General features: G+C 51.6%; 1 protein-coding gene and 1 pseudogene across 28 annotated transcripts in view, besides 1 other annotated feature; both read right to left on the reverse strand.

Annotated features, from left to right (window-relative positions):
- Positions 1 to 27,351, reverse strand: part of RNF212 (ring finger protein 212) — a 57,460-nt gene that overhangs the window by 22,660 nt on the left and 7,449 nt on the right. For 8 of the 28 annotated variants that reach the window (NM_001366918.1, NM_001366919.1, XM_047450082.1 and 5 more), the window contains 6 exons: positions 17,855 to 17,929; positions 11,872 to 11,928; positions 6,986 to 7,044; positions 2,657 to 2,709; positions 2,509 to 2,557; positions 733 to 778 (listed from right to left, as the gene is read on the reverse strand). In NM_001366918.1, coding sequence (NP_001353847.1) covers positions 733 to 778; positions 2,509 to 2,557; positions 2,657 to 2,709; positions 6,986 to 7,044; positions 11,872 to 11,928; positions 17,855 to 17,929 — 339 coding nt within the window. Of the gene's footprint in view, positions 1 to 732; positions 779 to 2,508; positions 2,558 to 2,656; positions 2,710 to 6,985; positions 7,045 to 11,871; positions 11,929 to 14,398; positions 15,492 to 17,854; positions 17,930 to 20,805; positions 21,018 to 27,351 lie in introns of those variants that run through there. The other 20 variants (XM_017008040.2, XM_011513439.2, XM_047450087.1 and 17 more) reach the window with 10 other exon arrangements.
- Positions 12,361 to 13,340: an enhancer, noted in NCBI's record as "H3K4me1 hESC enhancer chr4:1085059-1086038 (GRCh37/hg19 assembly coordinates)". NCBI's record gives its function as "activates a minimal SCP1, AML or CMV promoter by ChIP-STARR-seq in primed H9 embryonic stem cells {active_cell/tissue: H9 hESC(primed)}" and the evidence as "EXISTENCE:reporter gene assay evidence [ECO:0000049][PMID:30033119]".
- Positions 21,801 to 22,652, reverse strand: LOC100421802 (protein phosphatase 2 regulatory subunit Balpha; annotated as a pseudogene).

The raw sequence follows: 27,351 nt of genomic DNA on the forward strand, positions 1-27,351 counted from the left end.
CAGGACCAACACGGGACCAACACAGGGTCAACACAGGACCAACACAGGACCAACATAGGACCAACACAGGGTCAACACAGGACCAACATAGGACCAACACAGGGTCAACACAGGACCAACATGGGACCAACATAGAGTCAACACAGGACCAACATGGGACCAACACAGGGTCAACACAGGACCAACATAGGACCAACACAGGGTCAACACAGGACCAACATAGGACCAACACAGGGTCAACACAGGACCAACATAGGACCAACACAGGGTCAACACAAGACCAACATGGGACCAACATAGAGTCAACACAGGACCAACATGGGACCAACACAGGGTCAACACAGGACCAACATGGGACCAACACAGGGTCAACACAAGACCAACATGGGACCAACATAGATTCAACACAGGACCAACATGGGACCTGTACGGGAACAACACAGGAACAACACAGAACCTGCATGGGACCCTGCCAACACCTCGTCCGCATTTGCTTTTGTTTCTCCAGATGCAACTGCAGTCCTGGCCATTCAGGCAGAACAGGAGCGTTCTCATGACCCAGCTTATAGCCACAGCCCACCCCTCTCACCCACGGGACCAGCACACGAAGCAGCAGCACTGTGCAAAGTCTGTCTACTGTTGCACGAGAGGTTACGTTTTTCACTACTGAGGAAAATGGGAAATGCCACACGTCTGGTATACAGAGGAACTCAGCAGGAGAGATGCACTTACTTTTCTAATCGGAGAAGGAGAGAGATCAACTTCCATCGACTCCAGTCTGTTAAACACATAGTGAAAGGCTTTGAGTGAGCCCAGGACTTACCTCTAACAACGTCAGTTGAAATACACACATGACGAGATGATGTGTAAATGTCTAAATCTTCCTCTAGCTTCATGCTGCGGCCAGAGTTTAGCCACTTAGGCATCTGATCACTGCCATTTTCCTCCCTCTTTAGGGCCACCCGCCGTCTGTACTGGGATGTAGCCTCTCCAGGACAGAGGCCGCTGGCCGGCCCGCCCTGGTTGGGCTCTCCCTGGCATTCCTCTCTTGCACCTCTGCACACTCAGCTTCTCCCTCCAGACAACCCCTTCTCTTCTCTCTGCCAACACCTGCCTGGAGCCTGCTGGACTAGGACGTTCTGAGAGTGGGATCCCGAATTGACTTCTGTGATCACTCACTGCCTGGCCACACATACCACACCGTGCACGCTCGGTACGCACTAGTTCCTTCATTTGCCAAAGGCAGACAGGAAAACATCATAGGATTCATTTTGCGTTGGCCCCCTCCTAGCCCTGCCATCCTTATGGCTCGTGATCTCTGCGGAAAGAGGCTCACTCTTTTCCAACAGCTCCAGCAAGAGTCCCAGGGGTGACTCCAATTAGTCCAGCCTGGCTGGAGTGAATTCTAATTTTAGGTGGCCTCAGCACTCATTTTGAAGACAGGTTTAACTTTCTCATACCAGAGGCAGGGCTCAGTCACCTTCAACAGTTTCCAGTTCTCCACCCGCTCCCAGTGTCTCAGAGTGGTCCATCCGGACACTTGCCTCCCAGTGGCCACCTCCCTGTGGGAGGGTGGACAAAACCCACTTGGCTGGCCCCGCTGACCCCTCACCCTTCATTGACCGTACAGATGTACCACAGTGATGCCCTCAGTCACAGCGGGACCCCGTGGAGCTTGTGCCTGCCTGCTCTAAACCCACCAATTAAAACTCCTCACGGGAAACCTGCCTGGATGACGCCCTGAGCCCCAATAAAGGTGCTGGCCCACGAGACCCCTCTCTGCCTGAGCCTTCTTTCCTGCCTCTTGCTACCTGTGGACAGAGCACTGTCCTCCCCACAGGCGCCCTCCCTGTCCAGGACCTGTAAGTAATAAATCTGAATGTGTTTCCTATCACAGGGGTGGACTGAATTTGTGCCTTCCATCTGAAGAGCTAGGAGCTACCCCAGGCCGGGTTTTCTCTGGGATGCTGGAGGGAACATGAGGTTGGGCTCCCTGTGCCAGAGTGATGGCCAGGCAGGCATAGCCTGGAGATGGGGCAGACACAAGCCACAGGACATGTGCCAGTATGAACGTTTCCTGTGTGAGGGACCCCCAGCCATGGGTTGGGTAATGGGTTCAGGCCATCCCCCAGGTGAAAGAAGGATTCCATATAAGGCACACCAGGTCAGCCCCTTAATTTCCTGTTAGGGCAGGGCTGTCAGCTGCCGGGCACTGGAACGCCAGTTGAGCGGGGGGCACGCAGAACACTGGGTCACATGATCATTCCCAAACCAATCACTGTCGCTGCAGGATGGAGTGCTCTGATTGGCCACCTGGATCACACACTTAGTTTGGGACCTGAGCCTCGCAGGGAGATGAAATAAGTACCAAAATGAGTTCATGTCCAGTCAACTGTATGGATTAGCAAAATCTGGGGGCTTGGAGAGGGGGTGGGGTTGGGATGGGAAGGCAGGTGCAGAATCGGAAAGACCTGCAGGTCCTGTGATTTCTGCAAGCAACCCACACACCTGTCGGGGGCTGATGAGTGAGGTGGCAGCAGGCATCCGTGTGGTTTTGCTGGAAGAGTGATGACGAAAATGCCAGCGTCAGTGCACACAGTGTGACTCAGCAACATGCATCTCTATTTTGTTCTCTTTCTGGCATGATTTTACTTACTTGAAACTGAACTTTTTATTGTGCTGAAAGCTGTTTGTTGTGATGATCTCATACTAAATAGATGGAGAAAAGGTATTGAATTAAATCATAAAAACTGACTTCCCCCCAGGTCATCCCAACTGAAAGTGTAAGAAGGCTCTGAATCAGTGAAATGTTCTTACTGGGTTTGCAAACGGCATTTCACATGAATTCAGCAGTTCCCATAGCGTCCTGTGAGTCGCACGGCCCTGCTCCTCCCTAGCGCTGAAGCCAAGTGAACTCAACACCCCACTGCCATTTACATCACTGGCTCTTACAACTGCAACTGTCACTCAGCACATGGCCACTGCGGGTGTTAAAGGTGTGAAATTAAGACCTGACAACAGGAGCCACTAACGCACCAGCTTTGAAAGGCCACTAAGAGGCCAGCCATGGTGCCTCATGTCCATCATCCCAACACTTTGGGAGGCAGGGGCGGGAGGATTGGTTGAGCCCAGGAGTTGGAGGCTACAGTGAGCTGTGATTGTACTACTGTACTACTGCACTCCTGCTTGGGTGACAGAGCAAGAACTCATCTCAAAAAAGGAAAAGGAAGGGGAAAGGGAAAGGAAAGAAAAGAGAAAAGAAAGAAAAACAGGCCAGCAAGAGAAATATGGACAAGTTACTTGGTCACGTTTTCCAGTCTAGCAACCCTGGACTGATCTCCACGATGGCCAGTAGCAGAGACCACCTGCTGTGCCCTGTGACTCCCGGCCACAGAAGGCTGCTGCACCTGGGTCCTCTCTGCCTCACAGGGCCTGGTGGACATGCTGAGATGCACACGTAAGACTGGGGGAGCGTGTCTGTTTCTGTGGACACACTGAGGTGCATGACTGCACATGAGGGGTGGGGCTGTCTCCTGGCACCGAGTGCCCGTCTATGCTGGCTGGGTTTTGAGATACGAACAGTCTGCCCTCAGCAGTTTCAGTTTGGGACCAAGCCAGCTAGGAATAGGCAGTTGCACAACAGCTCAACCACTGGGGCCTCCGCTCTGAGTCACCTCCTAGAGCCTGCCCTGGCACTGCCCCTCAACATCCTCACCCAGAGTCACTTATCCTGACAGCCTGTGTCCCGGCCCGACATACAAGTTCACTTTCTGCCTCCTCTTCCCCACACAGAAGCTCCCAGAGGACGGGCACTGGGCGTGTTTGGCTTACTCCGAATTGCCAGCCCCCAGAACAGTGCTGAGAATGCACCTGGTGCTCAGTAAACACTGGCTGCTGCGTGGCTGACTGTGGTGGGCGGAAGTACCTGAGCCTTCTGCGTCTGGCAGGGCCGTGGCCTGGCTCCTCTGAAGGGCACTTGCTCCTGATTCCAGACAACTCTAAAATGCACTGTTTCGTGGGAGCAAGAGGATGATGACAAAAACAACAATGACAACAAAAGTGGGTGGCACGAACGCCACCACAGTGAGGCCGGGCAAGACGGGGTCGGGGGCGCAGCGGTCTGGGGCGGGTCAGCTGGGCTGGCAGAGCACATGGGAATCCTCTCTGGAGGAAAATGCAGGCGATACCAGGTATGTAGAGAGTGGGATTGGCCTGTGCAACCTCACCAGAGATCAGCAGAAATATACCTCCCTCCAGCGAGAGTGGAAGAAAAGAAGGCAGATTTGGATTCCTGAGGATATCAGGTAAGGAAAATAAAAAGGCTGCCTGTGAAATGACTACATAAAAGACGAAGATGCAACAATGAGCAAGGACTATTTTCCAAATGGTGAAATGAGCAGGAATGTTCTCAAAATGTTAACTGTAATGGACAGAACAAAAACTCAATGGGGGCCGGGTGTGGTGGCTCACACCTGTAATCCCAGCACTTCGGGAGGCTGAGGTGGGCGGATCACCTGAGGTCAGGAGTTCGAAACCAGCCTGGTCAACATGGTGAAGCCCCGTCTCTACTAAAAATACAAAAATCAGCCAGGCGTGGTGGGGCTGTAATCCCAGCTACTCAGGAGGCTGAGGCAAGACAATCGCTTGAACCCGGCAGGCGGAGGTTGAGGTGAGCTGAGATCGTGCCACTGTACTCCAGCCTGGGTGACAGAGTGAGACTCTGTCTCAAAAACAAACAAACAAACAAACAAACAAACAAACAAACTCAGTGGGGTTCACTGGCTTAACCTGAAAATCAGGGAGCTGGAAGAAGCAACCCAGCATGTGACCAGGTGGCCTAAGACGACGGAGATCACAGCAGAGGCTGACGTCGAGGGTGGGGAGCTGCAGGTTGTGGCTGGGGATGCAGAGGGTACTACTTGAAAAGATAATGGGCAGGAATTTTACAGAACTGATGCAAAACACGAATCCACAGAATGAAAGAAAATTATACACCAACAAGGAAAAAAATGAAAGTAATTCCACATTTTGTGCATTTTTTTTTTTTTTTTTTGAGAGACGGAGTTTTGCTCTTGTTACCCAGGCTGGAGTGCAATGGCATGATCTTGGCTCACCGCAACCTCTGCCTCCCAAGTTCAAGAGATTCTCCTGCCTCAGCCTCCTGAATAGCTGGGATTACAGGTGTGCACCAACACATCTGGCTAATTGTGTTTTGTTTTTAGTAGAGATGAGGTTTCTCCATGCTGGTCAGGTTGGTCTCAAACTCCCGACCTCAGGTAATCTGCCCACCTTGGCCTCCCAAAGTGCTGGGATTACAGGCGTGAGCCACTGCGCCTGGCCCCTTTGATGCATTTTAAGTATCTGCCTTTCCTCTTGTGATGCTTTAAAGGAGGAATTTGCAAATGTTTCTGCAAAGGGCTAGCTAGTAAATGTAGGAGGCTTTGCTGTCCACATAAGGTCTCCGTTGCAATGCGTTTACAATCTTCTAGAAATGTAAAAGCCATGGTCAGCTTGGCAGCTACATGAAAATACATTGTGGCCGGGTGCAGTGGCTCACATCGGTCATTGCAGCACTTTGGGACGCTGAGGTGGGAGGATCACTTGAGCTCAGGAGTCCAAGACTAGCCTGGGTAACATAGTGAGACCCCATCTCCACACAAAATAAAAAAATTAGCTGTGTGTGGTGGTGCGTGCCTGTGGTCCCAGCTACTTGGCAGGCAGAGGCAGCAGAATCACCTGAGCCTTGGGAGGTTGAGGCGTGAGCTGAGATCACGCCACTGCACTCCAGCCTGGGTGACAGAGGAAGACCCTGTCTCAAAAAAAAAAAAAAAAAAAAAAAAGCGAAGGAAAGGAAGGAGAAGAGAATACACTGCAGGCTGGATTTGGCCTGGAGTTTGCTTGCTGATGCCTGGAACACACCCTTCACAACACAAGCCCATGGCAACTCTTAGAACCCAAAATAACGACAGGGGAAAGAATCCCTTTTCACCAGAGGCAATCAGAACCTCGTGTCAGGAGCAAGGCCACCAGCCAGTGTGACTGGCGTCACCAGCTTCCCACAGGCCCCACGGCCCCAGTGAGGCCATGCCATGCTCAGCTGCCTGACACAGCAGGGAGGTGGGCACCTGCACACACGCTGGAGGCTCACCCACCCCTACACACACAGCCAATGGGAGGCAGACAGGGCTCCTGACTCCTCGACCTCCATGTTAGTAGCAGCCAGCAAACGGGGGCTTGTGACTATTCAACGCGTCTCGTAGAATCTAAGGCATTGCTGAGCGTAATATGTGCCACATCTGTGTATGACTGTGGTAACTGAACTCTGGCCTGTTATTGATTCCAAATTCCAGAAATGGAATGCAGTAAAACTGTATTCAGAACAGATGCAATACGGCAAAAGCACGGATGAGCTAAAATGTACAAGAAAGGAGGGTTTCAAATGGCTAGATTTTCCAGATATTGAAATGTAATGCTTTAAGTCCCCATTTTGGTTAATCCTAGCAACTCTGGATGTTTCTTCCTAAGATGCAACACCCATTCACAGCAGTGCCTTTATACACAGAACATGCCACATATATGTACCTTTCGCAAACGGCTACGACTCCTGGCAGAAAGCAGGCAGCCAGGCTGCAGGTGGAGTCCCGCAGTCCCTGGCTGCAGGGCCACCCCACCTGTGCTGGGTCACTCTGAGAGGCCGGGGGCACCTGCTGCTCTCCCAGGCCCCTCCCACTGCCTCAGCAATCACTGGGGCACCTGCCCCAAGGGGAAACCATTCATCTCTTTTTCACTTTTTCTTTTTTGTCTCCCTTCTTCCCTTCGGTTTTCCCACAGCATTTTTGCTCTGATGAAAGTTTCTGGTAAATGAACGAGCTCTTCCCTCTGCATCTGCAGTCATCTTTCATTCTTGATCTTGGAGAGCCAGACGACCAATGCACATGGCAGTGGGTGCCTCGACTGCGCACTCACGGGGGGTGGGGCGCCTTACCTTTGTAGTTGTTCTATCTGCAGCACTGACTTCCTAAGGGATTCTTCCAACCTAGAAATCTAAACATAATTACACAACCTCTTGTTATCAGACAGGCTATGCTGAGTGACATGTGACCCTCTAAATTTCTTAAACCTTGAATCAGAATGTGGGTTACTCTGCATGGAGTTGCCCTCACGCTGCTCAGGAGTAAATCTGCCTGGAGTTCCGCCCATCAGACACTTAGGAAATCGGCCTTGGGGGCCATGCAGAGCGAAGTCAAACCCAAGCCCCAGGGGACAAATCTCAGTGCTGCACCCCACACAAGCCGGCAGGATGCAAATTCAGTGTCAGCCCTTCCAGGGGAGCACCTGGCCTCAAAGTCACACACAAGCACCTTCCATACACGGCCACTGCCAGCTCATCCCACGGCACAGCCTCTGCTGTCAGGCTGGAGCCCCGCCCTGTGTGTGGGAGCTGCCAGACCCCAAGAGAGTGACTAGAGTCTAGGATCCCACTGTCCAGTCTGTAATCATGGCTTATGCCCATCCTCCAGGTTTGCTGGGAGGATTAGGAGACAACATACACAAAATATAACAAAATCTGAGCCCAGGCTGGCTCCTGCAAGAAGCCTCCAGGCAGGGTTTTGGGTGGCTGTCAAGGAGTATGATGGGGCTGTGGTGGCCTAGGAGGGGTAGGGGAAAGAGGATGGCATGAGGGTGGCAGGAGAGGGGTGGGGGTGAGGAAGGGGTGGGGTGAGAGAGGAGGGGGTGGGGTGACAGAAGAGGGGTGGGGTGACAGAGGATGGGGTGGGGGTGGAAGGACAGGGGTGGGGGTGAGAGGATGGGGTTGGGGAGAGAGGATGGGGTAGGGGTGAGAGGATGGCATAGGGGTGGAAGGACAGGGGTGGGGTGAGAGGATGGGGTGGAGGAGAGAGAATGGGGTGGGGGAGAGAGGATGGGGTTGGGGAGAGAGGATGGCATGGGGGTGGAAGGACAGGGGTAGGGATGAGGGGATGGGGTGGGGTGAGAGCATGGGGTGGGGGCAAGAGGATGGGGTGGGGAAGAGAGGATGGGGTCGGGGAGAGAGGATGGCATAGGGGTGGAAGGACAGGGTGGGGGTGAGAAGATGGGGTGGGGGAGAGAGGATGGCATGGGGGAGAGGATGGGATGGCGGTGAGAGGATGGCATGGAGGTGGCAGGACAGGAGTGGGGGTGAGAGGACGGGGTGGAGGTGAGAGGACGGGGTGGGGGAGAGAGGATGGGGTGGGGGTGAGAGGATGGGTGGGGGAGAGAGGATGGCATTGGGGGTGGCAGGACAGAAGTGGGGGTGAGAGGATGGGGTAGGGGAGAGAGGACGGGGTAGGGGAGAGAGGACGGGGTAGGGGAGAGAGGATGGGGTGGGGGTGAGAGGATGGGTGGGGGAGAGAGAACAGGGTGGGGGAGAGACAATGGCATTGGGGGTGGCAGGACAGAAGTGGGGGTGAGAGGATGGGGTGGGGGTGAGAGGATGGGGTGGGGGTGACAGGATAGGTGGGGGCACCAGGATGGGGTGACAGTGATAGGATGGGGTGGGGTGACAAGGTGGGTGGGGGTGACAGGATGGGGTGAGGGTGAGAGAACCAAGGTTGGGGGGTGACAGGATGAGGTGGGGGGGTGACAGGACAGGGGAGAGGCTGACAGGACAGGGTGGGTGTGACAGGAGCAGGGAGTGGGTAATAGGATGGGGTAAAGGGGTGACAGAATGGGGTTGAGAGGTGACAGAATGTGGTGGGGGTATGATATGGTTTGGCTGTGTCCCCACCCAAGTCTCATCTCAAATTGTAATCCCATGTGTCAAGGGGAAGAATCTGGGGGAGGTGATTGGATCATGGGGGTGCTTTCCCCCATGCTGTTCTCATGACAGTGAGTTCTCACGAGATCTGATGGTTTAAAAGTGTTTGGCAGTTCCCCTCCACCCCCTCTCCTGCCGCTATGTAAGATGTGCCTTGCTCCCCCTTTGCCTTCTGCCATGATTGTAAGTTTCCTGAGGCCTTCCCAGCCATGCAGAACTGTGAGTCAATTAAACCCCTTTCCTTTATAAATCACCCAGTCTCAGGTAGTTCTTTATAGGAGTGTGATAATGGATTAATAAAGAAAATTGGTACCAGTAGAGTGGGGCACTGCTATAAATGTAACTAAAAATGTGGAAGCAACTTTGGAACTGGGTAATGGGCAGAAGTTGGAACAATTTGGAGGGCTCAGAAAAAGACAGAAAGGTGTGAGAAAGTTTGGAACTTCCTAGAGAGTTGTTGAATGGTTTTGACCAAAATGCTGATAGTGATATGGATGGTGAAGTTCAGGCTGAGGAGGTCTCAGATGGAGATAAGGAATTTATTGGGACTGGAGCAAAGGTCACTCTTGCTGTGCTTTAGCAAAGAGACTGGAGGCATTTTGCTCCTGCCCTCAATGTCTGTGGAACTTTGAACTTGAAAAAGATGATTTAGGGCATCTGGCAGAAGAAATTTCTAAGCAGCAAAGCGTTCAAGATGTGACCTGGCTTTTTCTGAAGCATACAGTCACATACGTGTTCACAAAGAGATGATCTAAAATTGGAACTTATGTTTAAAAGGGAAGCAGAACATAAAAGTCTGAACAAAATTGCAGCGCGACCATGCAGTAGAAAAGAAAAACCCATTTTCTGAGGGGAAATTCAAGCTGGCTGCAGAAATGTGCATAAGTAACCAGGAGCCAGGACGGTGGAGAAAATGTCTCCAGGGCATGTGAGAGATCTTCACAGCAGCCCCTCCCATCATAGGCCCAGAGAAAAAAAGTAGTTTTATGGGCCGGGCCAAGGCCCCCTGCCCAACTCTCGTGCAGCCTCAGGACATGGTGCCCTGCATCCTGGCTGCTCTGGCTCCAGCCATGACTAAAAGGGTCCAAGGTACAATTTGGGCTGCTGCTTCAGAGGGAGCAAACCCCAAGCATTGGCGGCTTCCACATGGTATTGGGCCTGCATGTGTGCAGAGGACAAGAGCTGAGATTTGGGAACCTCCACCTAGATTTGAGAAGATGTATGGAAATGCCTGGATGTCCAGGCAGAAGTCTGCTGCAGAGGCAGAGCCCTCATGGAGAACCTCTGCTAGGGCAGTGCAGAAGGGAAATGTGCGGTGGTTGTTCCCACACAGTGTCCCAACTGGGGTGCTGCCTAGAGAAGCCATGAGAAGAGGGCCACTGTCCTCCAGACGCCAGAATGGTAGACCCATCAACAGCTTGCACTGTGCACCTAGAAAAGCTGCAGGCACTCAACCCCAGCCCAGAAAGCAGCCACTGGGGCTGTACCCTACAGAGCCACAGGGGTGGAGTTGCCCAAGGCCTTGGGAGCCCCCCTACCCTTAAATCAGCATGTCCTGGATGTGAGACATTGGGTAAAAGGATAAATTTAAGATTTAATGGCTGCCCTGCTGGGTTCTGGACTTGCATGGGGCCTGCAGCCCCTTTGTTTTGGTCAATTTCTCCCATTTGGAATGGGAACATTTACCCAATGCCTGTACTCCCATAGTATCTTGGAAGTCATTAACTTGTTTTTGATTCTACAGGCTCATAGGTGGAAGGAACTTGCCTTGTCTCTGATGAGATTTTGGGCTTGGACTTCTGAGTTTATGCGGGAATGAGTTAAAACTTTGGGGGACTGCTGGGAAGGTATGATTGTGTTTTGAAATGTTAGAAGGATATGAGATTTGGGAGGGGCCAGGGGTGGAATGATGTGGTTTGGCTCTGTGTCCCCACCCAAATCTCATTTTGAATTGCAGTCCCCATGTGTCAAGGGAGGGATCCGGTGGGAAGTGATTGGATCATGGGGGCAGTTTCCCCCGTGCTGTTCTCGTGATAGTAAGTTCTCATGAAATCTGATGGTTTAAGAGTGTTTGGCAGTTCCCCCTGCCCTCTCTCCTGCTGTTAATGTAAGACGTGCCTTGCTTCCCCTTTGCCTTCTGCCGTGACTGTAAGTTTCCTGAGGCCTTCCCAGTCATGCGGAACTGTGAGTCCATTCAACCTCTTTCCTTTATAAATTACCGAATCTCAGGTTATTCTTTATAGCAGTATGAAGACAGACTGATACAGGGTGACAGGACAGTGTAGGGGTGAGGGGTGACAGGATGGGATGAGGGGTGACGGGATGGGATGGGGTGACAGGACAGGGTGGTGGTAGCAAGATGGCCTGAGTGGTGACAGGATGGGGTAAGGGTGACAGGATGGGGTTGGGGTGACAGGACAGGGATGGGGTACCAAGATAAGGTGACAGGATGGGGTGAGGGGAGAGATGGGGGTGACAGGACAGGGCAAGGTGACAAGACAGGGTGGGGGTGACAGGATGGAAGGGGAGTGACTGGCTGGCAAGCAGGGCCAAGGGTGATCTGTCCGCTCCAGGTTTGGGTGTACACAGAATGTTCATGGACAGACAGGAGGCAGCAGGGTCACAAGCTGGCTTCCAGACTTGGGGAAGCGGCCCCAGGTTCCCTTGTCTTTAAAGCTGGGTTCCTGACTTTACCGACTACATAACCTTCAAAGTTTTTTAAAAAGGACTTGTTTTTCAAAATGGGATGGTTGAGCAGAGAAGCCTTCAAGCTGCCTTCCAAACTCCCAAGGCCCCAGTGTTGCCCCAGGTGGCTGAGGGGATAAGTGTGGCCAGGCAGGGAGGCCCATGCGGTGCTGCACCCAAGGGGCTACTTGGTAACTACAGACAAGGGTTGGGCAAATAGGCTGCTCAGAAGGAGACAGTGACAACGTCCCCATAGCTGGAAACACACAGAGAAACAGATATTGCATCTAGCAGCCATCCCCTTTGAGAGCAAGGTGTTAATTAACAAGTCTGACATTTAAATCTAAAGGTCAAAAAAATTCAAGTGGCAATGAATCAATTCCACTTACCTTTTCTCTATAGAAGGCTAACAATCTCTTCCTGTGTTTTTCTTGAAATTCTAAAATCTGAAAAGATCATAGGTTTCAGCTGCTGACACAGATCCACGGTCTCTGTGGCTGGAGTTTTGTTGGGGGAGGAGGAGGCTGGAGGGACTCTCAGGAGAGCTCACAGTGCTTGTCTTACGTGTGTCCTGCCCCCACAGACGCCCATGGCCAGTGCTTGCACAGGCAGGGCCAAGGGCAAACACAGGGGAGGCTTAATGGGCATGATAGGAAAGTCTCCCCAGCAACCTGCTCCATTCAAGTTGCGAGTGGTGCTCTACTGCTGGGCCAATCACAGGGTGCTGTCCCTCTGATAATGGCTACTGGTTTGAGGAATGGCCTCCTGACCAAACAGGTGTGGACCAATGGCTGGGGCAAGTGGAAAGAGAGCCGGCACACAGAATGAGGCTAAGCGAGACCCACAGAGCTGGCAGAGGCCTGGTGGGCCTGTCTGCACTCCCAGGGCCAGCCATGCCTGACACCAGCACCCTCCCATTTACAGGAGCCCCGGGTTCCATGCATGCTGTCTAGACAGCTTGAACTGGGTTTCTGAGAGTACCAACATAAGGAGGAAAGAGAGTCCTGTGATTTCCTCAGAGGAAGAAAAGAGCTATTTCGTATGAGTTGAGTGTTCAGACAATGGTGCCTACCCTCTGGAAAGACCAGGCTGGAAGGGCCGACAGACAACAGGGCTAACTGTGGCTCCACTGGTACTGAAAGTCGGCGTCCTCTAGCTCCATCCCCCACTTCACTCCACCTTGCCATCTGCGATGATAACACAAGCAGGAGGGAGCGGCCTTGTCTGCCCATGGCTCACTGGCCCGGTGCAAACACAGGGCAGGCTTCTTCCCTCCTGTGGAAAGACAGGCCCAGCACATGCCAGGCCTTTGTTCCCAACCTCCTCCATGAGAGGCCATCTCCAGAGGATGGGGCTGCACAGGGGCCCTCCTCCAGGACAGCAGGGATGACAGCCTCGCGGTTTCCTGGCTGCTGCGTCCTCGGAGTGACTTGGAGCTCTAGGGTTCTCCCCTACTCGACAAGGGGACTATGTCTCCACCAAGGAGGGAAGACAGTCCTGGGTGCCACCCCGTGGGCTATGAAGAGGAGTGGACAGAAGGACTCCGCAGGTTGCCCTGACCCCAGCTCTTGTGCACATTGCAGGCCATGGCCAGGGCACCTTTCCCACCTTTGCCGACGCTTCTCAAGTCCTGCTGCCTGTCGGGAACACCTGCACACGCCCCTCAAAGCCACACTCAATTGTGCCTGTGTGGGAAGCTTCTCCAAAGCACCCTCAGCAGGAACATTCCACCCTGCAGGCAAGCGCCTCTGCTTCTCAGCTTCACATGTTCGTGGAGGAACCTACCAGCAGACGCGCCTCATCCCGGCTGTGGGGGTGCCTGGTCTGGCTGTTCTTAGAGAAAGGCCTTGGGGAGACGAGGTCAGTCTGTGGCTGATCCTGATTTGGCAGGGCAGGTGTTGCTGCAGCAAGGACTGGGCTGCAGGGAAAGTCTCCAAGGGGACCTGAGCAGCAGATGGGGTGAGTTCTACTGAGGGTGGAGCTGGGGAGCCTCACATGAGCTTGGGGGGCAGCCAAGACCCACTTGTCTGGGTGTTGCAGGGTCTACACCAGCCTCCAGGACTCCATTAGGGGGAGCCACACAGGCCTGCAGCCTCATGCCGCCTCCGTGGTTTGTCTGGCCTGGCTCTGACCAATGTTGGGGCCCAGAGACTTGAGACACTGGGTGTGGCCTCAGAAGAGGGTAGATTTTAATAATAAAACAAAGTTTAAAAGGGACAGTGAGTGTTTATCTTGCAGAGAATATGCCTCTTGAACTGAGCCAGAGAAACAGGTCAATGAAATCATTGCAAAACTCCAGGGCTGCGATGGTCACAGAGGCTGCGCTGGGCCAGGTCAGCCCAGGGCCCCAAGGAAGAGCTGCCCGGTGCTCACGCGTGCTTTGCCCGCATCCTGCGAACTGGGAGGCCGCGAAGGCCTGAGAGTCAAGGCAGTCGGGGGAGAATGCAGGTCACTCACGCGGACTCTCGCCAAGAGGCCAGGAGAGGCGGCTGCCTGGTCCGGAGCACACTTCTCACTCTTCGGTTCAATACCAGTTCTCCTCCATGGAGTGGCCTGTGCCTGCATTCGTCCACATGAGCTCCAAACTACGCCAGGACCAGGGTCTGCGTGCTCAGTGCTGACGCAGCCTGTGGTAGGGCAGAGGCTGGGTGGATGGAACGGATCTTAGAGGATTACTGGGAAGAGGAAGATGTTTAATTGTTACCAACTAGACTAGGAAGGTGGACCAGGGCAGGCAGTGGCTGAGGTGGTTTGTTGACGCTGTCCCAGGGCAGGTCCTGAGGCCTGAGCCTTGGTGCTCAGAGTTTTGGTCTTGGGCCAGTTTTGCACTCTTAAAAGTTACTGAGGGCCCCAGAGAGCTTTGCTTATGTGGGTTTTATCTGTTGGTATTTACCCTATTAGAAATTAAGACTGAGACAAATCTAAAAGTATTTATTAATTCATTTAAAAATAACAATAAATCCATGATGTGTTAACATATTGTAACAAATGCCAATATTTATGTTACGTTGATATTAGAGCATAAATGTTACAATACCACCTCACGTCACACAGCTGCGGGAAAACTCCACCCTGCGTTTGTGATGCTCACCTCCACAGTGTAACTGACAAACAGTGGGGCCACGAGGTCACTGGGCAGAGCCTGTGACCTCCACGGCCCATGCCGGAAGCCTGAGAGGCACGAGAGGCAGAGCAGACAGGTGGCTGGAGGGGCTGGCCGGGTCTGCTGGGTCTTCTCTCCTGAGACAGCACCTGGCCTCTGCAGCACTTGGCAAAACCACCCTGGAGCGCACGGCCTGTGGCTCTGATGTCTGTGATAACAGACATGTTTTATGAACTCAAGCAACTTCTGGCCCCAAGGGGACTTGGTGTGAATGAGGGTCCTGCTGGGATGGAGCAGGGTGAGGGGGTGAGGTGCGTCCTGGATGGTGTTTCCCTGGGCCTCTGGCTGGCTCTGGGACCGCCGGCATCCTGGTCTGGGTGCCCGTGTTGTGCTGACCCAGTGTTCTTGGGGATCTCTGGCTGCTGCTTGGCTTCCATGGGTCGAGCCTCTGGGCACCTCCTTGGAGGATGTGGCTGGGCATAACTTGAGACGGCAACAGCCTCGGGAAAGCCTGAGATACTGTGGGTGATTCAGGCTGTTTCAGAAGCAAGGAAGCTCCCAGAGGAGGACAGTCTTGGGGACCTGGCTGACCACAGCCTGAAGGCACAAGCCCATGAAGGAGAGTGCCATGCAGGGGTCCATCCTCAGTCTCCTGCCTCAGATCCTGGCTGCCCCCACTAGGCCTCTTTCCCCACAAGGCAGGTGGGGTGGCCAACGGTGGGAGCTGCACTCTTCACGGAAGAGGGAAAGGAAGTGCAGGGCGGGGGCCAGGGGAAGGACCCCTTCCTCTCCTGGCAGCTTTCCCCCAGACTGGTGGACTGCAGCTGTCCGGTGACATCCAAGGAGGCCAGAAGTGCCACTCAGCATGTGGGGGTGGGCACAGAGGACAATGACCTGCGTCAGAAGCTGGGGGTGGGGGAGGCTTGGAGTGGAGGCGCGTGCTGACTGGGAGGAGGGTCAGGAAGAAACAGGTAGAGAATGGACAAGCCGCAACTGAGAGGACTGGCACAGCAGCTGGTAAAAGCTGCCAGGGGAGGGGACCATGGAGCCAACACTGCCACAGCAGGGGCTCAGCTGCCAGGATGGGGGCCCATGGGGCCAACACTTCCACAGCAGGGGCTCAGCTGCCAGAAGGGGGGCCCACGGAGCCAGCATTGCCATGCAGGGCTCAGCGGGGATTGGAGGCCTGGGAGGCAGAAGGCCCTGGGTGACTGTCAGGGAAGGACAGTGTCAAGAAGCAACCTGCTGCCCTGAACCCAGAGAACCCTGATCTGGTGGGGAGGGCTCCCAAACCTGAGATTCTAACGTGTGAATATGGGGAGGGGGCATCTTGCGCAAAGGACCCCAGAACTGACTGAGACCACTTTGTCTCAATGTGACACCAAAAGCAAAAACAATAAAACAGACCAAATGAACATTGTCAAAATCAGAACCTTTTGTATGTAAATGTTTCACCATTAAGAAAGTAAAAATTCAACCCACAGAAATATTTTGGCAGAAAATATTTGCTGATCAAATATCTTCAAAGGAACTTGCCTCCAGAACACAGAAAACACATGGTCTCAGGATAGCGCACCTGGCTCATCACGGAACCAAGCACACTCCCCACAGCTCCATGGTCTCAGGATAGCGCACCTGGCTCATCACAGAACCAAGCACGCCCCCCACAGCTCCATGGTCTCGGGATAGCGCACCTGGCTCATCACAGAACCAAGCACACTCCCCACAGCTCCATGGTCTCGGGATAGCGCACCTGGCTCATCACGGAACCAAGCACACCCCCCACAGCTCCATGGTCTCGGGATAGCGCACCTGGCTCATCACAGAACCAAGCACACCTCCCACAGCTCCATGGTCTCAGCATAGCGCACCTGGCTCATCACAGAACCAAGCACAACTCCCACAGCTCCATGGTCTCGGGATAGCGCACCTGGCTCATCACAGAACCAAGCACAACTCCCACAGCTCCACGGTCTCGGGATAGCGCACCTGGCTCATCACAGAACCAAGCACAACTCCCACAGCTCCATGGTCTCGGGATAGTGCACCTGGCTCATCACAGAACCAAGCACACCTCCCACAGCTCCATGGTCTCAGCATAGCGCACCTGGCTCATCACAGAACCAAGCACACCCCCCACAGCTCCATGGTCTCGGGATAGCGCACCTGGCTCATCACAGAACCAAGCACACCTCCCACAGCTCCATGGTCTCGGGATAGCGCACCTGGCTCATCACAGAACCAAGCACACCTCCCACAGCTCCATGGTCTCAGCATAGCGCACCTGGCTCATCACGGAACCAAGCACACCCCCCACAGCTCCATGGTCTCGGGATAGCGCACCTGGCTCATCACAGAACCAACCACACCCCCCACAGCTCCATGGTCTCAGCATAGCGCACCTGGCTCATCACAGAACCAAGCACACCTCCCACAGCTCCATGGTCTCGGGATAGCGCACCTGGCTCATCACAGAACCAAGCACAACTCCCACAGCTCCATGGTCTCGGGATAGCGCACCTGGCTCATCACGGAACCAAGCACACCCCCCACAGCTCCATGGTCTCGGGATAGCGCACCTGGCTCATCACGGAACCAAGCACACCCCCCACAGCTCCACGGTCTCGGGATAGCGCACCTGGCTCATCACGGAACCAAGCACACCCCCCACAGCTCCACGGTCTCGGGATAGCGCACCTGGCTCATCACGGAACCAAGCACACCCCCCACAGCTCCACGGTCTCGGGATAGCGCACCTGGCTCATCACGGAACCAAGCACACCCCCCACAGCTCCACGGTCTCGGGATAGCGCACCTGGCTCATCACGGAACCAACCACACCCCCCACAGCTCCACGGTCTCGGGATAGCGCACCTGGCTCATCACGGAACCAAGCACACCCCCCACAGCTCCACGGTCTCGGGATAGCGCACCTGGCTCATCACGGAACCAAGCACACCCCCCACAGCTCCACGGTCTCGGGATAGCGCACCTGGCTCATCACGGAACCAAGCACACCCCCCACAGCTCCACGGTCTCAGGATAGTGCACCTGGCTCATCACAGAACCAAGCACAACTCCCACAGCTCCATGGTCTCGGGATAGTGCACCTGGCTCATCACAGAACCAAGCACACCCCTCACAGCTCCATGGTCTCGGGATAGTGCACCTGGCTCATCACAGAACCAAGCACACCCCTCATAGCTCCATGGTCTCGGGATAGTGCACCTGGCTCATCACGGAACCAAGCCACACCCCTCACAGCTCACCTGGGAGGTTTCCCTGGAGTACTTCTTACACAGACTGTCTATGCTCATGAAGAATGCCTGGATATCTGCGTCGGTCTGAAAGAGAAAGAAATGACTCTACATTTATTGTGTCTAATAAACGCTTCTGGCCCCCAGTTAAAAACTGTACTTGAAGACCTAGAATTAGCTATAGATGACTCAAGTGGCCAGCACATTGTGAATGGCCTCTCAGGGGCCCTGCCAGGGACAGCCTCGATCAACAGGACAGCCCCTCGTCCTGGCCACTTCCCTCTGAGGGCTGTGCCGGACAGTGGTGAGGGCCAGGAGGCAGAGCAGCCTGCCTGGCAAGGACACGCTCCCTCCTCAAAAGGGTCTTAGTGAGGGCAGAAGGTCACCATGAATGAAGGCCTCCAGCCCAGCCTCCTCCTTTAGTATGGAGACATACTAAAATCAGAAGGATGATCTAGGCTGACAAGCATTAAGTCACCACTATGTAGTCACAAGTACATGTCGAGTTATTTAAAAAGCAAATGTAAGGACCTTAAGAAAGGACACAGGTTTAAGAAACAGCGTCTCGTAGGTCGGGAGCGGTGGCTCAAGCTTGTAATCTCAGCACTTTGGGAGGCCGAGGCGGGCGGATCACAAGGTCAGGAGATCGAGACCATCCTGTCTAACACAGTGAAACCCCGTCTCTACTAAAAATATAAAAAAATTAGCCGGGCGTGGTGACGGGCACCTGTAGTCCCAGCTACTCAGGAGGCTGAGGCAGGAGAATGGCATGAACCCAGGAGGCAGAGCTTGCAGTGAGCCGAGATTACGCCACTGCACTCCAGCCTGGGCAAAAGAAACAGCATTTGGTTACAAGCCCTCATGCAGACGCTCCCAACTTCCTTCACAAGTGCCTTCAGGATGCCCTGCCTCACCTCCCTGCACCTCTGGCCTTCCCTCACTTTCCCCAGCCAGGACCACATTAGCACAAAACACTAGGCGACAGCTGTCCTAGGCATGGAGCTGCCGTGAGCTAGAATCGCTTGAGCAGTCCAAAGAAAAGAGGCTCACGCCTGTCATCCCAGCACTTTGGGAGGCCAAGGTGGGCAGATCGCTTGAGGTCAGGAGTTTAAGACCAGGCTGGCCAACATGGTGAAACCCCATCTCTATCAAAAATACAAAAGTTACCTGGGCGTGATGGCAGGTGCCTGTAATCCCAGCTACTTGGGAGGCTGAGGCAGAAGAATCGCTTGAACCCGGGAGGTGGAGGTTGCAGTGAGCCGAGATCATGCCACTGCACTCCAGCCTGGGCAACAGAGCAAGACTCCATCTCAAAAAACAAACAAACAAAAAATCCAAAACCAAAAACAAAGAAAGGGACAAACACCAGAATGACAAGATGTAGGAAGAACCTCATGCCTCCTCCCATTCTGTGGTTCAGGACAGTGAGCGCATAGAGTCAAGACAGTCATCTAAGCCCATCCACCTACCTACCAGTGGCTCCCCAAATCCCACTGAAATGATAGTAAAATTTAGGAAAAAAATACTCTATTTGTGGTAGAAAACAGGAAATGATATCTTGAATTGACCAGACTGAAGAATTCTAGAAGACAGAGTATAGACTGGCTTGGATCAGGATTAAGGCACCAGCTCCAAAGCCTGGGGCAGGTGCAGATGAAGAGGTCCTGGAATCCACTCCAGAATCCACTCCCAGGCTCCCAGAGGCAGAGGCCAAGCAGAGCATCCTGGAGGTGAGCTCCTCTGTAACAGGGGGACTGAGACCCAACAGAGGGGAGACCTGGCTCTGGCTCGGATGGGGTAGGAGCTCCCGTGTAACACCCTCCTATACACACCAAACTGCAAAGGCACAAGCAGTATGTCCAACACCACAGGCATCAGGAGCTCAGAGTCTGGCCTAAATCCAGCTCTGCACACCCTTGACCTGCAACCCTGGTTCTCCACCTAACTCCACCATGCCTCGGTCTCCCTACGTATAAAACAGAAGCAGAAACAGCACCCCCTCAGCCCCGGCCATGGCAAGTAGCAGGTGACACAATACAGAAAAAGTGCCCCCAGCAGAGCGTGGCCCATGTGAGTGCGCAGGGAGCGGGAACTGTCACTGTTATCTAAGGTATATTATAAATACACAGATGCCTCAGAGACAAGACCAAGAGCTCCATGGACCAGAAATGGGAGCAACTGAAGAAGCTGTCACAGATCGATCTGGTTCCATGGCCTTCTGGGTGAGGGGGACTGAGTCATTCTACACATGACAGACACCCCAGGATGTCCAGAAGATGAGCCTAGAGCCAGAACAGCCAAGAAGTCTACAAAACTAACAAATGGCATCACAGCACAGATGCACAGACCTCAGTGAGGCCTGAGCGGGAGAACACAGGCAGCCATTCCTCCACCCCGGCACTCACATTGCAGAGGGCCGGCGATAAGCCAGGTGCCGGAATTTTCAAAGTGCTAAGATGCATTCACTTTCAACAAAGAATTCTGAAGTCTGTGAAAATGTGCTTCAAGAAAAAGACATTTTTTTAAAAACAAAAACTGAAAACACTAACAGCCCAGCACTAAAATAAATAATAAAGGAATTCCCTGTAGGTAAGAAAAATAATTCCTGATAGAAGCACAGAGATTCGGGAGGCAGCGAGGAGCAGGGAAGAGGGGGAAATGGGGGAAAATCTAAGTGAGTATTAACTGTCCATGGCAGCACTGTATGGTGGGGCCTCCTGCAGTGAGAGCCAGTGTGGCTCCAGGAGCGGGGCGGGGAAGGCCAGGAGAAGGGGGATCGGTGAGAGCTGAGGCCCTCGCATCATCAAGAAAACTGAATTTTTGTTAGACTTTTAAAAGTCAAGATTGCTCGCACAATCCCCAGGAAAATCACAAACGAATGTTTTCTTTTCGTATTTAATTTTTAAAAGGGGGGTGTGTGCGCCACAATGGTACAGTAACGAGGATACATAGTTAAATCTCACAGCGTGACTGAAGGCCTTTGCTGCGTCTGACGTCATCATGGCAGAGGGCGTAAGGAATGGAGGAAATCAACCCTGGTGCAGAGCAATCGAGTCCACAAGGTCCGACGGCGCAAGCGGACACGGGTACCCCTGTGCGGGATCCACGGGGCTCTCCTCACGCAGCTGTAAAGGCGTGCTGTTGGTGACTCGCTGTCAGACACAGGAAAGGGGCGCTGCAAAAGAGGGCTCTTATCATCATGGAGGCTGATGCAGCCACTGCCGCTAGGCAGGAACGGGGTTCTCTGACTAGGAATGCCAGCCCTAATTTACTGTCTTGAAACACACAGATTGTACTGGCTACAGCACGATACTGTCCTTGGGGCGCCAGGCTTACACAGGACTTCCTTGCTAGAGTCTCGGCTGTCAACACTAATTTCATCTTCTTTTGCTTGCTGCCTGTGTGGACTTTGCACGGTTTCAGAATCGTACCAGGCTTACTGCTTTCCCGTGATACTTCTAGCGTTAGGTCTTGTTTTGTGTTCCTGTCAAACATTCTGAAATTATTGTTAAGACCCAGTCACAACACCGTCAGATCCATTCCAACAACACTGAATTTGTCAGACACATGGTCCTTTTCACACAGTGCACAGCTTACTTCCGAGCTACTGGTGCACCTGTTACATTTCCACAGGCATTTTCCATAATTTTTTTTTTTTTTTTTTTTTTTTTTTGAGATGGAGTCTTACCCTGTGGCCCAGGCTGGATTGCAGTGGTGCGATCTCCGCTCACCGCAACCTCCACTCCCCAGGTTCAAATGATTCTCTAGCCTCAGGCTCCCAAGTAATTGGGATTACAGGCGTGTGCTACTGAGCCTGGCTAATTTTTGTTATTTTCAGTAGAGATGGGGTTTCTCCTTGTTAGCCAGGCTGGTCTCAAACGCCTGACCTCAGGTGATCTGCCCGCCTCGGCTTTGCAAAGTGCTGGGATTACAGGCGTGAGCCACCGCACCCGGCCGCGTTTTCCATATTGAAGTTCCAACTTTTGACTAACAAATGGTCTCTATCATCATATTTGACCACTATGGCTGAATTTTACGTCAGAAATTAGATGATTTCAGACAAAAATGACCCATTACTGGAATCATCAGGTTCTTCAGTGTAGATGCCTATCACAGAGGGCAGACGCTCTCATGTCACATGAGCAAATAGTTCCTTTACTGCTGCTAGATACAGATGTGTTATAGCTGTTCAGATGGAATTCTGCGGCTGAAATCACCTGTTAGCTCTTCCATATTGTCAGGCTTGATATCCACAATATTAAAACTCCTGTCTATAATTTCCAGATGCCAAAGACTTGATTTTGATCTGCAAATCACCTGCAGATAAATATGTTTCAAAATCTCTATTAACAGGAATTGAGTTGGTGTGACCAGTATGAGCATTGGCAGATGCTCTTTGTGGAGTGACTGCGACCCCTAGACCCACGGGCCTAACGACTGGCACTCACAGTGCAGTAGCCGTGGTGGCATCTCTACACACCCCATCTTCCTCTTCAAGTTATATCCTTCTGGTCTTTTGTCCCTTTCACTGATTTTCCATAATTGTATTGTTTTATTATTGGTAGACAATACTGAGCAGAATTTTTCTCAGGGAAACCACCTAGCTTTGTTGAACTTTTCTTCTCTTTCTAAACTTTTCAAGTGGTCAAACTCTGGCTCATCGTTCTGAAAGGTCCTGTAAACATGGTATTCCCTTCTGCTTAAGATGGGATTTTGTTCATCTGCTCCTGTTGAAGGATTATGACTCTGCCACCTGTATCTCCAGTTCCTACTAATTCTCCAGAATGAATAAGTTCTACTGGGGAAGAAAAAAGCTAATGAAATAGTTATGGTCAATAGTTATAGAAAAATTAAAATTCCACACCACTCGTGACATCATCTGCTACATCGTCATCTATTGCTCCTTTCACCTGAGAAACCTCTACTGAGTGTCATCCCTCCTCCAGCTCCTGCCATAGGGAAACAAAAATACACATATGGCCCCATTATGTTTCACCTTGTGAAGGGCTCTTCCTTCTCAGCGCAAAAATATCTGTACATACACCTAAGAAAGCTTGCAGCAGGGGGTAAACTACTTTCCTTGACCTAAATGTTGGTTACACATTATGATTCTGAAAAATTGACTGAGGTATACACTCATAATGTGTGTACTTGGCCATGTGTTAGCTCACAGAAACTGTAACTAAAAACTTGCAAATACTTAAAAATGAATATACTTCTAGGTAACACATGGGTCACAGGAGAAACTGAGTAAAAATATCAAAATTCAAAGATAAAAATATAGTATCATCAAATACATATACTGCAGGCAAAAATGAACACAGAAGGGAAGTTATGACCCTATAGTGTAATATTACAGAGGAAAGGTTGAAAATTAATCCTAAGCACCCATCTTAAAGAACAAACTAAATCCAGACAAAAAGGAAATGATAAAGAGAATTAACAAAATAGGAAACAAATATAAAATGGACACGATCAACAGAGCTAAAAATTAGTTTTTGAAAATACAGTCATCCTTCAGTATATGAGGGTAAATTGGTTCCAGGACCCCAAGTGTGCTGAAATCCAGGCATACTAAAGTTCCACAGTTGGCCTTGTAGAACCTGCATACAGGAAACGTCAGCCCTCCATCTGAGCAGGTTTTGTATCTCATGAATACTGTATTTTTGATCTGCATCTGACTGGAAAAATCTCTATGTATACATGGACACACACAGTTAAAACCTGTGTTGTTCAAGAGTCCACAGTACTAATAAAAATCACTAACATTCATCCTGGCTAACAGGGTGAAACACTGTCTCTACCAAAAATACAAAAATACAAAAAAAAAACACAAAAAAACAAAAAAAAAACACTTTGGGAGGCTGAGGCAGGCAGATCACGAGGTCAGGAGATCGAGACCATCCTGGCTAACATGGTGAAACCCCGTCTCTACTAAAAATACAAAAAATTAGCCGGGCGTGGTGGTGGGCCCCTGCAGTCCCAGCTACTCGGGAGGCTGAGGCAGGGGAATGGCGTGAACCCGGGAGGTGGAGCTTGCAGTGAGCCAAGACTGCGCCACTGCACTCCAGCCTAGGCAACAGAGCGAGACTCCGTCTCAAAAAAAAGGCCGGGCACGGTGGCTCACACCTGTAATCCCAGCACTTTGGGAGGCCGAGGCGGGTGGATCACGAGGTCAGGAGATCGAGACCATCCTGGCTAACAGGGTGAAACCCCCGTCTCTACTAAAAAAATACAAAAAAAAAAAAAATCACTAACATTTGGCACACTGGTCAAGAGAAAAGAGAATTCATAATACCCACTGTTAAACAAGAGGCATCATTATGGAACTTACAGACATGAAAAATATGAGTGGATAACAAGCATATTGATGACAAGAAATTTGAAAATTCCAACGAAATGCACTAATTCCTAGAAAAACACAATTTACTTAAATTGACTCAAGGAGAATTAGGAACTTTAAACAGTTCGATGTCTAATAAAGATATCAAATCCCTAGTTTAAAATCTTTGCACAAAAAACTTACTGGGCCTAAATAGTGTCACTCCTGAATGCTACCAAACATTTAAAGAAATAACCCCCATCTTACAAAAAATTTTCCAGAGAAGAGAAAAATAAAAATAATTTACAACTTGTTTTATGAAACCAGAACAGACCTGATTTACCAAAATGTGGAAAGAGCATTACAAGAAAAAAAACTTACAGGTCCAGCTCTCATATGAACATAGGTGCAAAAAACCCCATGCAAAATAGTAGCAAACTGAATTTACTTACATATACAAGCTACCTTGTATCACTACAAAGTTGAATTTGTTCCTAGAATCTAACGTGGGTTTCAAATTCTAAAAATAAATGCAACTCACCACATTAACAAAATAAATGAGAATAATTAAATGATAATCTCGACAGCTATAGAATAAGCTAATAAAATATTTATAGTCAATAATCACAGAAAAATTAACAAAATTCAATACCATTCATGATGATTAAAAAAGAAACCTTAGCAAAAACTTGATGCACATATAATACTTGATGAAATACTGGAAGCTTGACCCTGAAATTAGGAAAATGACGAGGGCGCCAGCTAATGCCACCGTTTCTCCTCAGCACTGTACTGGAGGTCCCAGCCAATGCTGTAAAAAAAAGGAAGCGCATAAGGAATAGAAAGAGAGATCTAAAGCGTCCTTATTCAAAGATAACATGTTGGCGTATGTAAATGTTCTAGCAGAATCTACACATAAACCAACAGAGTTATCAAGTAAATTCTGCAAGGTCACTAGAGACAGTTAAGAAAATCCATTGCATTTTTATATACTAGCAATAAGCACTTGAGAAAAATTGTTTAAAACTACAATAGTAGCAGTCCAAATCATTGAATACCTAACAGAGATACTAACACTGTTGCACAAAGCCTCCCTAAAGAACAGTAAGTCCACAATAACAATCCCAACAGGATTCTGTGTCTGTGGAAATTGACGACATGCCTCCAAAATTTATGCGGACATGCGAAGATGAATGTAGGCCAACTGGTGTATCAGACAACCCCCAAATCTCAATGGCTTATTGTGGGGACACTTGTTTCTTGCCCATACAATAGTTCAAGACCAGGCTCAGTGGGTGGCCTTCCATACAGGCCCTGGGCTCAGGTCACCCCGCCCCCAGCAGCTCTGCCCTGTTCTCCAGGGCTTCTGTGGTGACAGAAGGGCAGTGGAGGGCTGTCCAGGAGGCTGTTTTTATGGGCCAGGCCTGGAAGTGGTCTTCATTGCTCCTGCTTGCATTTCAGCATGGGAAGGTAGGTGGGGAGAATGAGTACAGCCAGGTGCCCAGGAAGAAAGGGAGCAGGCGTGGTGATGACTGCCCAGCCTGGCCTGGTCTGCCATTCTGGTCACTGGTATCCAGGTCACTCCTCCCTTAGACAGAAAGTCACTCCCCCAGAGTGGAGCGCCCCCACCACCACTGTCACTGGCCCAGCTCAGATGCTGGGGCAGCATGTGGCCCCTTCCCTCGGGTCCCGATTTGGCCTGCAATCTATGAGCTAGAAAGACAATGAACGTGTCTGCATCCTCGCCATGACCTGACATCTAATGGCGGCACGGGGCAGGACAGCTAAGAAACACTCCCCACCACACCAAGGGAGGAGGAAGAACACAGGTGCACGTCATGAGGCATTTGAGGATGGGTGCTGGGGGCTCCTCCCCCAGGGAGAGCCTGGGCTGGACTGCAGCTCTGCCTTCTGGAGGAGCTCTCTTGTCTGCTGTCTCCAGGCCCTGGTTCTGCCTGCTGGGGTTCCCATCAAGTGAAGCGAGGCAGAAGTGCTGCCTCAGCTTTCAGGGCCTTCACCCTCAAGACTTATCTCTTACCACTTGGAACTCAAAAGCAACTGGCGTGTCCATGACTGTGGGGCATCCTCGTCCTTCACCTCCTTACTGTGGCTACTCCTTTCCACGTGTGTGTGTAAAAACCGGCCCGGTCTAGCTTACACTCTCCCTCCTCAAGGAGGCAGATGCAGGGGGAGCACAGCTGCTGCTCTGCTCCGCGCTCACCGGAGTCTCCCTTCCTGGCGGCCCAGCCACCCACCACATCCCCAGGCACTGGCTTCAGTCTGCTCTGCTCCCTGGCCATCCACCACCCAACCAATACGGTGGTGCCCTATTCTGTGCGTTCAATCGTAATGGAGCATTATAATGACAAACAAATCAATATATAAAGATATCTCAGGTGGTGACACACACTGCGAAGCAGAATAATCCAGGTCAAGGAACACAGCGTCAGAGGGTCACTTTTACATGGTAGTGTCTGTCACAATCAGGTCTGGGGAAGTCCACTTACAATGTGTTTTGTTTTAAAGAAAAAACAACATGAGACTGGAAACCATCAGAGGGTACTGCACTAAGCGAGGATAAGAACTGCTCTGTGAAACTGATTTCACCGAAGTGCTCACACACGGATGCACCCACGTGCAAGTGCACATGCTGGCATAATATAAAGCGTCCTTCCACCGCAGGTCAGGGTCAAAGAAGCCAGCATGAGCCAGAGCTGTTGGTGATGTCTCCTCACATTCCATAGAGACTTAAGGCTGTGGGGGATGGAGCCTGTGGCCATCTGGGAGGACATTCCAGTCAGAGGGGACAAGAAAGCCAGGCACTGAGGCGGACGAAGACCCTGGCTCCTGCAGGGGCTGCAGGCCAAGCTGGCTGCCTGGGGACCACGAGGCGGCCAGAGGCCAGGCCACAGGGCCTACATGCATGGGGGACTTTGGCGCTTACTCCTGGAAAGTTGGGATGCATTTAAGCAGATCCCTCTGGCTGCAGGGTGAAGAGGCTCTAGGAAGCCAGAGTGAGAGGAGGAGGAAGCAGCAGCTCCTATAGGGGGGTGAAGCAACAGGGAAGGGAAGACCAGCATTCGGAAGACACTGCGGAAGAAAGAGCCCACACGGTCTGTGATGGTTTAGAGAAAGAGAAGCAGGAACAACTTCTACATGTTAAACAATTTTACTTACACACACACAC

This window comes from Homo sapiens, chromosome 4 (assembly GCF_000001405.40).
Source record: "Homo sapiens chromosome 4, GRCh38.p14 Primary Assembly".
NCBI lineage: Eukaryota > Metazoa > Chordata > Mammalia > Primates > Hominidae > Homo > Homo sapiens.